Below are 14666 nucleotides of genomic sequence, written 5' to 3' on the forward strand. Positions count from 1 at the left end.
CTGGATAAAACTCTCACTATCTGTCTGGTAGAATTCTCACCATCTGGATAGAATTCTCACTATCTGGATAGAATTCTTACTTTCTGGATAGAACTCTCAGTGTCTTTCTGGATAGAATTCTCACCCTCTGGATAGAACTCGCACTATCTACCTGGATAGAAGTCTCACTCTCTGGATATAACTCTCACTAACTGTCTGGATAGAATTCTCACTATCTGCATAGAATTCTATCTGTCTGGTTAGAATTTTCACTCTCTAGATAGAACTCTCACTATCTATCTGGATAGAATTCTCACTCTCTGGATAGAACTCTCACTATCTATCTGGACAGAATTCTCACTCTCTGGATAAAACTCTTAACTATCTGTCTGGATAGAATTCTCACCATCTGGACAGAACTCTCACTATCGGTCTGGATAAAATTCTCACCATCTGTGTAGAATTCTCACTATCTGCATAGAATTCTTACTCTCTGGATAGAACTCTCTCGTATTCCTCGATAGAACTCTGACCATCTGGATAGAACTCTCACTATCTATCTGGATAGAATTCTCATTCTCTGGATAGAACTCTCACTATCTGGATAGAATCCTCACTCTATATAGAACTCTCACTATCTCTCTGGATAGAATTCTCACTCTGGAAAGAACCCTCACTATCTATATGGAAAGAATTCTCAACATCTGGATAGAATCCTCACTATCTGGATAGAATTCTCACTCTCTCGATAGAACTCTTGCTATCTGTCTGGATAGAATTCTCACCACCTAGATAGAACTCTCAATAAATGGTAGAATTCTTACTCTCTGGACAAAACTCTCACTATCTTTCAGGATAGAACTCTTACTACCTGGAGAGAACTCTCACTATCTGGATAGAATTCTCAACATCTGAGGATAGATTTCCAACTATCTATCTGGATATAATTCCCACTCTGTCGTTAGAACTCTCACTACCTGTCTAGATACAATTTTCACCATCCATGAACAACTCTCACAATCTGTATGGAATTCGCTATCTCTGGATAGAAGTCTTACTATCAATCTGGATATAATTCTCACTCTCTGGATAGAACTCTCACTATCTGGGTAGATTGCTCACCATCTGGATAGAATTCTCACTATCTATCTATAGAATTCTCACTCTCTAGATAGAACTCTCAATATATATCTGGATAGAATTCTTACCATCTGGATAGAACTCTCACTATCTGGAGAGAATTCTCACTCTCTGTGTGGAACTCTCACTATTTATCTGGATAGAATTCTCAACATCTAGATAGAACTCTCACTATTTGTCTGGATAGAGTTCTCACCATATGGACAGAACTCTCACTATCTGGTTAGAATTCTCACTCTCTGGATAGAACTCTCACTATCTGTCTGGATAGAAATCTCACCATCTGAATTGAACTCTCACTAACTGGATAGAATTCTTATTCTCTGGATAAAACTCTCACTATCTTTCTTGATAGAACTCTTACTAACTGGGAGGAACTCTCACTATCTGGATAGAATTCTCAACATCTGGATAGAATTCTCACTATCTATCTGGATAGAATTCTCTGTCTCTGGATAGAACTCTCACTATATATCTGGACAGAACTCTCACAATCTGGATAGAATTGTCATTCTCTGAATAGTACTCTCACTATCTATCTCGATAGAATTCTCACCATCTGGATAGAACTCTATCTGTCTGGATAGACTACTCACCATTTGGATAGAACTCTATTTTTCTGTATAGAACTCTCACTATCTATCTGGATGGAATTCCCACTCTCTGGATAGAACTTTCACTACCTGTCTGGATAGATTTCTCACACTCTGGTTAGAACTCTCACTATCTGGATAGAATTCTCACCGTCTGGGTAGAACTCTCACTATCTGGATAGAATTCTCACTCTGGATAGAACTCTGACTATCTATTTCAATAGAATTCTCACCCTCTGGATAGAACTCTCACTATCTATCTGGATAGAATTCTCACACTCCGGATAGAACTCTCAATATCTATCTAGATAGAACTCTCACTATCTGGATAGAATTCTCACCCTCTGGATACAACTCTCACTGTCTATCTGGATAGAATTCTTAGTCTCTGGATAGAAGTCTCACTCTCTGTCTGGCTATAATTCTCAAAATCTGGGTGGAACTCTCACTATCTATCTGGATAGAATTCTCACCATCTGGATAGAACTCTCACTATCTGTCTGGATAGAACTGTCACTCTCAGAACTTTCTGGATAGAATTCTCACTGTCTGGATAGAATTCTCACCAAATGTCTGGATAGAATTCTCACTCTGTGGATAGAACTCTGACTGTCTATCTGGATAGAATTCTCTCCCTCTGGATACAACTCTCACTATCTGGATAGAATTCTCACACTCTGGATACAACTCTCACTCTCTGTCTGGATATAATTCTCACCCTCTGGATAGAATTCTCACTATCTGGATAGAATTCTCGCCATCTGCATGCACGGGATTCTAACTATCTGTCTAGATAGAATTTTCACCATCTGGATAGCGCTCTTACTATCTGGATAGAATTCTCACTCTGCATAGAACTCTCACTATCTATCTGGATAGAGCTCTTACTATCTGGATAGAATTCTCACTCTGCATAGAACTCTCACTATCTATCTGGATAGAATTCTCACTCTCTGGATAGATCTCTCACTATTTGTCTGGAAAGAATTCTCACTCTGTGGATAGAACTGTCGCTATCAATCTGGATAGAATTCTCACCCTCTGGATAGAACTCTCACTATCTAGAAGGATTTCTCACCATCCAGATAGAACTCTCACTATCTGGATAGAATTCTCACTATCTGGATAGAACTCTCACTATCTATCTTGATAGAATTCTCACCCTCTGGATAGCACTCTCACTATATATCTGGATAGAATTCTCGCTTGCTGGATAAAACTCTCACTATCCGTCTGGATAGAATTCTCACCATCTAGTTAGAACTTTCACTATCTGGATAGAATTCTCACTCTCTGGATAGAACTCTCACTATCTATCTGGATAGAATTCTCATTCTCTGGATAGATCTCTCATTATCTGTCTGGAGAGAATACTCATTCTCTGGATAGAACTCTCACTATCAATGTGGATAGAATTCTCACCCTCTGGACAGAACTCTGAGTATCTGGATAGAATTATCATCCTCTGGATAGAACTCTCACTATCTATCTGGATAGAATTCTCACCCTCTGGACAGAACTCTGAGTATCTGGATAGAATTATCATCCTCTGGATAGAACTCTCACTATCTGTCTGGATAAAATTCTCACTCTCTGGATAGAACTCTCACTATCTGTCTGGATAGAATTCTCACCATCTGGATAAAACTCTCACTCTCTGGTAGAATTCTCATGATCTGGATAGAACTCTCACTATCTGGATAGAATTCTTACACTCTGGATAGAACTCTCACTATCTTCCTGGACGGAACTCTCACCCTCTGGATAGAACTCTCACTATTTGGATAGAATTCTCACTATCTGGATAAAAGTCTCACTCTCTGTTTGGTACAGTTCTCACGATCTGGATAGAACTCTCACTATCTGGATAGAATTCTTACACTCTGGATAGAACTCTCACTATCTTTCTGGATGGAACTCTCACCCTCTAGATAGAACTCTCACTATCTATCTGGTTAGAATTCTCACTCTCTCGATTGAAGTCTCACTATCTGGATAGAATTCTCACCATCTGCAGAGAACTCTCACTGTCTATCTCGATAAAACTCTCACTACCTATCTGGATAGAACTCTCGCTATCTGGATAGAATTGTCACCATCTGGGTAGAACTCTGACAATCTCTCTGGATAGAATTCTCACCCTCTGGATGGAACTCTCACTATCTGGATAGAATTCTTACTCTCTGGATAGAACTCTCACTATCTGCTGTATAGAATTCTCACCCTCTGGATAGAACTGTCACTATCTGTCTGTATAGAATTCTCACCCTCTGGATAGAACTCTAACAATCTGGATAGAATTCTCACTCTCTGCATAGAACTCTCACTGTCTATCTGGATAGAATTCTCACTCTCTGGATAGAACTCTCACTATATATCTGGATATAATTCTCACTCTCTGGATAGAACTCTCACTATCCGGATAGAATTCTCACCATCTGGTTAGAATTATCACTATCTATCGGGATAGAATTCTCACTCTCTGGATAGAACCCTCACTATCTATATGGAAATAACTCTCACCATCTGGGTAGAATTCTCCCTATCTAGATAGAATTCTCACTGTCTACATAGAGCTCTCGCTATCTGTCTGGATAGAATTCTCACCATCTAGATAGAACTCTCACTGACTGGATAGAATTCTTACTCTCTGGATAAACATCTCACTATCTTTCTTGATAGAACTCTTACTACTTGGAAAGAATGCTCACTATCTGTATAGAATTCTAACCATCTGGGTAGAATTCTCACTATCTATCTGGATAGAAGTCTCACTATCTATTTGGATAGAATTCTCATTCTCTGGATAGATCTCTCACTATCTGTCTGGATCGTATTCCCATTCTGTGGATAGAACTCTCACTATCAATGCGGATAGAATTCTCACCATCTGGATAGAACTCTCACTATCTATCTGGATAGAATTCTCACTCTCTGGATAAAACTCTATCTGTCTGGATAGAATTCTCAGCATCTGGATAAAACTCTCCCTGTCTGTCTGGTAGAATTCTCACCATCTGGATAGAACTCTCATTATCTGGATAGAATTCTTACTCTCTGGATAGAACTCTCACTATCTTTCTGGATAGAACTATCACCCTCTGGATAGAACTCTCACAATCTGGATAGAATTCTCACTCCCCAGATAGTGGACACTATGTCTCACTATCCGGATAGTGGACATAATTCTCACTATCCGGATAGAAATTTCACCATCTGCATAGAACTCTCACTACCGGGATAGAATTCTCACTCTCTGGGTAGAACTCTCACTATCTATCTGGATAGAATTCTCACCATCTGCATTGAAATCTCACTATCTATCTGGATAGAATTATCACTCTCTGGATAGAACTCTCACTATCTACCTCGATATAATTCTCACTCTCTGGATAGAACTAGCACTATGTGAATAGAATTCTTACTCTCTGGATAGAACTCTCGCTATCTGTCTGGATAGAATTCTCACCATCTAGATAGAACTCTCACTAACTGGATAGAATTCTTACTCTCTTGGTAAAAATCTCACTATCTTTCTGGATAGAACTCTTACTACCTGGAAAGAACTCTCAGTATCTGGCTAGATTTCTCACCATCTGGGTAGAATTCTCACTATCTATCTTGATAGAATTCTCACTCTTTGGATAGAACTCTCACTATCTGTCTGGATAGAATTCTCAGCATCTGGATAGAACTCTCACTATCTGGGTAGTATTCTCACTCTCTTGGTAGAACTCTCACTATCTATCTGGATAGAATTCTCACAATCTGGATAGAAGTCTTACTGTGTATCTGGATAGAATTTTCACTCTCTGGATAGAACTCTCACTATCTATATGGAGAGAATTATCACCAACTGTATAGAACTCTCACTATCTGAATAGAATTCTCACTCTCTGGATAGAATTCTCGCTATCTGTCTGGATAGAATTCTCACCATCTAGATAGAACTCTCACTAACTGGATAGAATTCTTACTCTGAATAAAACTCTCACTATGTTTCTGGATAGAACTCTTACTACCTGGAAACAACTCTCACTATATGGATAGTATTCTCACTATCTGGATAGAATTCTCACTATCTAACTGGATAGAATAGAATTCTCACTCTCTGGATAGAACTCTCACTATCTATCTGGATAGAATTCTCACCATCTGGATAGAACTCTCACGATCTGGGTAGAATTCTAAGTCTCTTGGTAGAACTCTCACTATCTCTCTGTGTAGAATTCTGATAATCTGGTTAGCACTCTTACTAACTGTCTGGATAGAATTCTCACTCTCTGGATAGAACTCTCACTCTCTGTCTAGGTAGAATTTTCACCATCTGGAAACAACTCTTACAATCTGGATAGGATTCTCACTCTCTGGATAGAACTCTTACTATCAATCTGGATAGAATTCTCACTGTCTGTATAGAACTCTCACTATCTGGATAGATTTCTCACCATCTGGATAGAATTCTCACTCTGTGGGTAGAACTCTTACTATCTATCTTGATAGGGTTCTCACCATATGGATAGAACTCTCACTATCTATCTGGATAGAATTCTCACTCTCTGGATATAACTCTCACTATCTGGATAGAATTTTCACTCTCTGGATATAACTCTCACTACCTATCTGGATATAATTCTCACTCTCTGGATAGCACTCACTATCTGGATAGAATTCTCACCATCGGGATAGAATTCTCACTATATACCTAGATAGAATTCTCACAATCTGGATAGAACTCTCACTATCTATCTGGATAGAATTCTCACTATCTGGATAGAACTCTCACTATCTGCATAGAATTCTCACTCTCTAGATAGAACTCTCGCTATTCATCTAGAGAGAATTCCCATCTGAATAGTACTCTCACTAACTGGATAGAATTCCTACTCTCTGGATAAAACTCTCACTATCTTTCCGGATAGAACTCTTAGTATCTGGAAAGAACTGTCACTATCTGGATAGAATTCTCACCCTCTGGATAGAACTCTCACTATCTATCTGGATAGAATTCTATGTCTCTGGATAGAATTCTCACTATCTGTCAGGATAAAATTCTCACCATCTGGATAGAACTCTCACTGTCTATCTTGATAGAATTCTCACCATCTGGATAGAACTCTCACTATCTGTCTGGATAGAATACTCACCATTTGGATAGAACTCTCACTATCTGTCTGGATAGAACTCTTACTATCTATCTGGATGGAATTCTCACTCTGTGGATAGGACTCTCACTACCTGTCTGGATAGAATTCTCACTCTCTGGATAGAACTCTCACTATCTGTCTAGGTAGAATTCTCACTCTCTGGATAGAACTCTATTTGTCTAGGTAGAATTTTCACCGTCCGGAAACATCTCTCACAATCTGGATAGGATTCTCACTCTGTAGGTAGAACTCTTACTGTCAATCTGGATATAATTCTCACTCTCTGGGTAGAACTCTCACTATCTGGATAGATTTGTCACCATCTGCATAGAATTCTCACTATCTGTCTGGATAGAATTCTCACTCTCTGGGTAGAACTCTCACTATCTATCTGGATAGAATTCCCACCATCTGGATAGAATTCTTACTGTGTGGATAAAATACTCACTCTCTGGATAGAACTCTCACTCTCTCTATATATAGAATTCCCACGATCTGGATAGAACTTTCACTATCTGGATAGAATTCTCACTCTGTGGGTAGAACTCTCACTATCTATTTTCATAGAATTCTCACCATATGGATAGAATTCTCACTATCTGTCTGGATAGAATTTTCACTCTCTGGATGGAACCCTCACTACCTATCTGGATATAATTCTCACTCTCTGGATAGCACTCACTATCTGGATAGAATTCTCACCATCTGAATAGAACTGTCAGTATCTGAATAGAATTCTCACTCTCTGGATAGAACTCTATCTATCTAGATAGAATTCTCACCCTCTGGATAGATCTCTCACCATCTGTCTGGGTAGAATTCTCTCCATCTGTATAGAACTCTAACTATCTGGATAGAATTCTCACCATCTGCATGGAACTCTCACTATCTGTCTAGGTAGAATTCTCACTATGTGGATAGAGCTCTCACTATCTGGATGGAATTCTCAATCTCTGCATAGAACTCTCACTATCTATCTGGATAGAATTCCCACCCTCTAGGTAGAACTCTCACTATCTGGATAGAATTCTCACCGTCTGCATGGAACTGTCACTATCTGGATAGAATTCTCACTCTCTGTATAAAACTCTCACTATCTATCTAGATAGAATACTCACTATCTGGATAGAACTCTCACTGTCTATCTGGACGGAATTCTCACTCTCTGGATACAACTCTCACTATCTGGATAGAATTGTAACTCTCTGCATATAACTCTCACTATCTATCTAGATAGAATTCTCACTCTGTGGATAGAACTCTGACTATGTATCTGGATAGAATTCTCACCCTCTGGATACAACTCTCACTATCTGGATAGAATTCTCACTCTCTGGATAGAACTCCCACTATCTGTCTGGATAGAATTCTCACCCTCTGGATAGAACGCTCACTGTCTGGATAGAATTCTCAGCATCTGCATGGAACTCTCACTATCTGTCTATGTAGAATTCTCAACATCTGGATAGAGCTCTCACTATCTAGATAGAATTCTCACCATCTGCATGGAACTCTCACTATCTGTCTAGGTACAATTCTCATCATCTGCTTAGAGCTCTCACTATCTGGATAGAATTCTCAGTCTCTGCATAGAACTGTCACTATCTATCTGGATAGAATTCTCACCCTCTGGATAGAACTCTTACTATCTGGATAGAATTCTCACATCTGCATGGAACTCTCACTATCTGTCTGGATAGAATTCTTACCATCTGGATAGAGCTCTCAGTATCTGGATAGAATTCTCAGTCTCTGCATAGCACTCTCACTATCTGTCTGGATAGAATTCTCACTCTATGGATAGAACTCTGACTATCTATCTGGATAGAATTCTCACCCTCTAGATAGAACTCTCACTATCTGGATAGAATTCTCACCCTCTAGATAGAACTCTCACTATCTGGATAGAATTCTCCCTACTGATAGAACTCTCACTCTCTCTCTGGATAGAATTCTCACTGTCTGGATAGAACTCTCAATATCTATGTGGATAGAACTCTCACTGTCTATCTGGATAGAATTCTTAATCTCTGGATAGAAGTCTCACTATCAGTCTGGATAGAATTCTCACCATCTGGATAGAACTTTCACTATCTGTCTAGATAGATCTCTCACTATCTATCTGGATAGAATTCTCACTCTCTGGATAGAATTCTCACTATCTGTCTCGATAGAATGCTCACTCTGTGGATAGAACTCTGACTATCTATCTGGATAGAATTCTCACCCTCTTAGGCTACAGTAACCAAAACATCATGGTACTGGTACCAAAACAGAAATATAGATCAATAGAACAGAACAGAGCCCTCAGAAATAACGCCGCATATCTACAACTATCTGATCTTTGACAAACCTGAGAAAAACAAGCAATGGGGAAAGGATTCCCTATTTAATAAATGGTGCTGGGAAAACTGGCTAGCCATATGTAGAAAGCTGAAACTGGATCCCTTCCTTACACCTTATACAAAAATCAATTCAAGATGGATTAAAGAGTTAAACATTAGACCTAAAACCATAAAAGCCCTAGAAGAAAACCTAGGCATTACCATTCAGGACATAGGCACGGGCAAGGACTTCATGTCTAAAACACCAAAAGCAATGGCAACAAAAGCCAAAATTGACAAATGGGATCTAATTAAACTAAAGAGCTTCTGCACAGCAAAAGAAACTACCATCAGAGTGAACAGGCAACCCACAAAATAGGAAAAAATTTTCGCAACCTACTCATCTGACAAAGGGCTAATATCCAGAATCTACAATGAAGTCAAACAAATTTACAAGAAAAAAACAAACAACCCCATCAAAAAGTGGGCGAAGGACATGAATAGACACTTCTCAAAAGAAGACATTTATGCAGCCAAAAAACACATGAAAAAATGCTCACCACCACTGGCCATCAGAGAAATGCAAATCAAAACCACAATGAGATACCATCTCACACCAGTTAGAATGGCAATCATTAAGAAGTCAGGAAACAACAGGTGCTGGAGAGGATGTGGAGAAATAGGAACACTTTTACACTGTTGGTGGGATTGTAAACTAGTTCAACCATTGTGGAAGTCAATGTGGTGATTCCTCAGGGATCTAGAACTAGAAATACTATTTGACCCAGCCATCCCATTACTGGGTATATACCCAAAGGACTATAAATCATGCTGCTATAAAGACACATGCACACGTATGTTTATTGCGGCATTATTCACAATAGCAAAGACTTGGAACCAACCCAAATGTCCAACAATGATAGACTGGATTAAGAAAATGTGGCACATATACACCATGGAATACTATGCAGCCATAAAAAATGGTGAGTTCATGTCCTTTATAGGAACATGGATGAAATTGGAAATCATCATTCTCAGTAAACTATCGCAAGAACAAAAAACCAAACACCGCATGTTCTCACTCATAGGTGGGAATTGAACAATGAGAAGACATGGAAACAGGAAGGGGAACGTCACACTCTGGGGACTGTTGTGGGGTGGGGGGAGGGGGGAGGGATAGCACTGGGAGATATACCTAATGCTAGATGACGAGTTAGCGGGTGCAGCGCACCAGCATGTCACACGTATGCATATGTAACTAACCTGCACATTGTGCACATGTACCCTAAAACTTAAAGTATAATTAAAAAAAAAAAAGAATTCTCACCCTCTGGAGAGAACTCTCACTATCTGGATAAAATTCTCACTCTAGATAGAACTCTCACTCTCTATCTGGATAGAATTCTCACCATCTGGATAGAACTCTCACTATCTAGATAGAATTCTCACCCTCTGGATAGAACTGTCACTATCTGGATAGAATTGTCACCATCTGCATGGAACTCTCACTATCTGTCCAGATAGAATTCTCACCATCTGGATAGAGCTCTCACTGTCTGGATAGAATTCTCAATCTCTGCATAGAACTCTCACTGTCTGGATAGAATTCTCAGTCTCTGTATAGAACTCTCACTATCTGTCTGGATAGAATTCTCACTCTGTGGATAGAACTCTCCGTATCAATCTGGATAGAATTCTCACCCTCTGGATAGAACTGTCACTATCTGGAAGGAATTCTCACCATCTGGATAGAACTGTCACTATCTGGATAGAATTCTCACTCTCTAGATAGAATTCTCACTATCTTTCTCAATAGAATTCTCACCCTCTGGATAGAACTCTCACTATCTCTCTGGATAGAATTCTGACTCGCTGGATAAAACTCTCACTATCCGTTTGGATAGAATTCTCACCATCTGGATAGAACTCTCACTATCTGGATAGAATGCTCACTCTCTGGATAGAACTCTCACTATCAATCTGGATAGAATTCTCACTCTCTGGATAGAGCTCTCACTATCTATCTCGATATAATTTTCATTCTCTGGATAGATCTCTCACTGTCTGCCTGGATCGAATTCTCATTCTATGGATAGAACTCTCAGTATCAATGTGGATAGAATTCTCACCCTCTGGATGGAACTGTCACTATCTATCTCAATAGAATTCTCACCCTCTGGATAGACCTCTCACTAGCTATCTGGATAGAATTCTCACTCTCTGGATAAAACTCTCACTGTCTGTCTGGATAGAATTCTCACCATCTGGATAAAACTCTCACTATCTGTCTGGTAGAATTCTCACTATCTGGATAGAACTCTCAGTATCTGTATAGAATTCTTACTCTCTGGATAGAACTCTCACTATCTTTCTCGATAGAACTGTCACCCTCTGGATAGAATTCGCACTATCTATCTGGATAGAATTCTGTCTCTGGATAGAAGTCTCATTATCTGTCTGGATAGAATTCTCACCATCTGCATAGAATATTCACTATCTGTCTGGATAGAATTCTGACCAGCTGGAGAGAACTCTCACTATCTGGATAGAATAATCATCGTCTGGATAGAACTCTGACTCTCTGTCTGGATAGCACTCTCACTACCTTTCTGGATAGAATTCTCACTCTCTGGATACTACTCTCGCTATCTGGATAGAATTCTCAGCATCTGGATATAATTCCCACTATCGATCAGGATAGAATTCTCACTCTGTGGATAGAACTCTGACAATGTATCTGGATAGAATTGTCACCCTCTGGATAGAACTCTCACTATCTGGGTAGAATTCTCACTCTAGATAGAACTCTCACAATCTTTCAGATAGAATTCTCCTCCTCTGGATAGAGCTCTCACAGTCTGGATAGAATTCTCACTCTGTGGATAGAACTGTCACTATCTGGATAGAATACTCACCATCTCGATAGAACTCTCACTGTCTATCTGGATAGACTTCTCGGTCTCTGGATAGAAGTCTCAATGCCTGTCTAGATAGAATTTTCACCATCCGGATACAACTCTCACTATCTGGATAGAATTCTCATTCTCTGGATTGATCTCTCACTATCTATCTGGATATAATTCTCACTCTCTGGATAGATCTCTCACTATCTGTCTGGATAGAATTCTCACTGTGGGTAGAATTCTCACTATCATTCTGGACATAATTCTTACCCTCTGGGTTGAACTCTCACTATCTGGATAGAATTCTCACCATGTGGGTGGAACTCTCACTATCTATCTGGATAGTATTCTCGCTCTCTGGAAAGAACTCTCACTATCTTTCTGGATAGAATTCTTACCCTCTGGATAGAACTCTCACTATCTGGATAGAATTCTCAACATCTGGATAGAACTCTTACTGTCTATCTGAATAGATTTCTCACTCTCTGGATAGAACTCTCACTATCTATCTGGATAGAATTCTCACTCTTTGGATGAAACTCTCAGTATCTGTCTGGATAGAATTCTCACCATCTGGATAAAACTCTCACTATCTGTCTGGATAGAATTCTCACCATCTGGATAGAACTCTCAGTATCTGGATAGAATTCTTACTCTCTGGATAGAACTCTCACTATCTTTTTGGTTAGAACTGTCACCCTGTGGATAGAAATTTCTCTATCTATCTGGATAGAATTCTCCCTCTCTGGATAGAAGTCTCATTATCTGTCTGGATAGAATTCTCACCATCTGGATAGAAGTGTCACTATCTGTCTGGATAGAATTCTTACCATCTGGAGAGAACTCTCACTATCTGGATAGAATTCTCACCATCTGGCTAGAACCCTCACTATCTGTCTGGATGGAACTCTCACTATCTATGTAGACAGAATTCTCACTCTCTGGATAGAACTCTCGCTATCTGGATTGAATTTTCACCATCTGGATGGAATTCTCACTGTCGATCACGTTGGAATTCTCACTCTGTGGATAGAACTGTGACAATCTATCTGGATAGAATTCTCACCCTCTGGATAGAACTCTCAGTATCTGGATAGAATTCTTACTCTTGATAGAACTCTATTTGTCTGCATAGACTTCTCACCATCTGGATAGAACTCTCAGTCTCTGGATAGAATTCTCACTGTCTGGATGGAACTCTCACTACCTGTCTCGATAGAATTCTCACCCTCTGGATAGAACTCTCACAATCTGGATAGAATTCTCACTGTCTGGATATAATCCTCACTCTCTGGATAGAACTAGCACTATCTGGGTAGAATTCTCACAATCTGGATAGAATTCTCACTATCTGGATAGAATTCTAACTCTGGATAGAACTCTCACTATCTATATGGAAAGAATTCACTCTCTGGATAGAATTCTCACTGTGTATGTTGATGGAATTCTCAGGCTGTGGATATAACTCTCACTATCTATCTGGATAGAATTTTTACTATCTGGATAGAATTCTCACTATCTGGGTAGTATTCTCACTCTCTGGATAGAACTCTCACTCTCTATCTGGATAGAATTCTCACCCTTTGGATAGAACTCTCACTATCTGTCTGGGTAGAATTCGCTCCGTCGTAATAGAACTCTCACTATCTGGATGGAATTCTCACTCTCTGGATAGAACTCTCACTATCTGTGTGGATAGAATTCTCACCATCTGCATAGAACTCTCACTATATGGGTAGAATTCTGACTCTCTGGATCGAACTCTCACTATCTGTCTGGAAAGAATCCTCACTCTTTGGATAGAACTCTCATTTTCTGTCTGGATAGAATTTTCACCATCTGGATAGAATCTCACTATCTAGATAGAATTCTCATTCTCTGGATAGAACTCTCACTGTCTATCTGGATAGAACTCTCACTCTCTGTCTCATTAGATCTCTCACTGTCTGTCTGGATAGAACTCTAACTCTCTGGATAGAACTCTTAATAACTCGATAGAACTTTCACCATCTGGATAGAACTCTCACCATCTGAATAAAACTCTCACTGTGTGGGAATAGAACTCTCACTCTCTGGATAGAACTCTCACTATCTATCTGGATAGAATTCTTACTCTAGATAGAACTCTCACTATCTGTCTGGATAGAATTCTCACCATCTGGATCAAACTCTCACTATCTGGATAGAATTCTCACCCTCTGGATAGAACTGTCACTATCTATCTGGATAGAACTCTCCCCATCTGGATTGAACTCTCACTATCTGGATAGAATTCTCACCCTCTGGATAGAACTCTCACTTTCTGGATAGAATTCTCACCCTCTGGATAGAACTCTCACTATCTGGATAGAATTCTCACTCTCTGGATAGAACTCTCACTCTCTGGATAGAACTCTCACTATCTGGATAGAATGCTCACTCTCTGGATAGAACTCTCACTATCTGGATAGAATTCTCACCCTCTGGATAGAACTGTCACTGTCTATCTGGATAGAACTCTCCCCATCTGGATTGAACTCTCGCTATCTGGATAGAATTCTCACTCTCTGGATGGAACGCTCACTATCTGGGAGCCTAACT

General features: G+C 39.5%; 1 protein-coding gene across 2 annotated transcripts in view; it reads left to right on the forward strand.

The window, feature by feature from the left end:
- Window positions 1-14666, forward strand: part of ABCG8 (ATP binding cassette subfamily G member 8) — a 44018-nt gene that overhangs the window by 17889 nt on the left and 11463 nt on the right. The window lies entirely within an intron of this gene.

The sequence above is a fragment of the Homo sapiens genome, chromosome 2 (assembly GCF_000001405.40).
Source record: "Homo sapiens chromosome 2, GRCh38.p14 Primary Assembly".
Classification (NCBI taxonomy): Eukaryota; Metazoa; Chordata; class Mammalia; order Primates; family Hominidae; genus Homo; species Homo sapiens.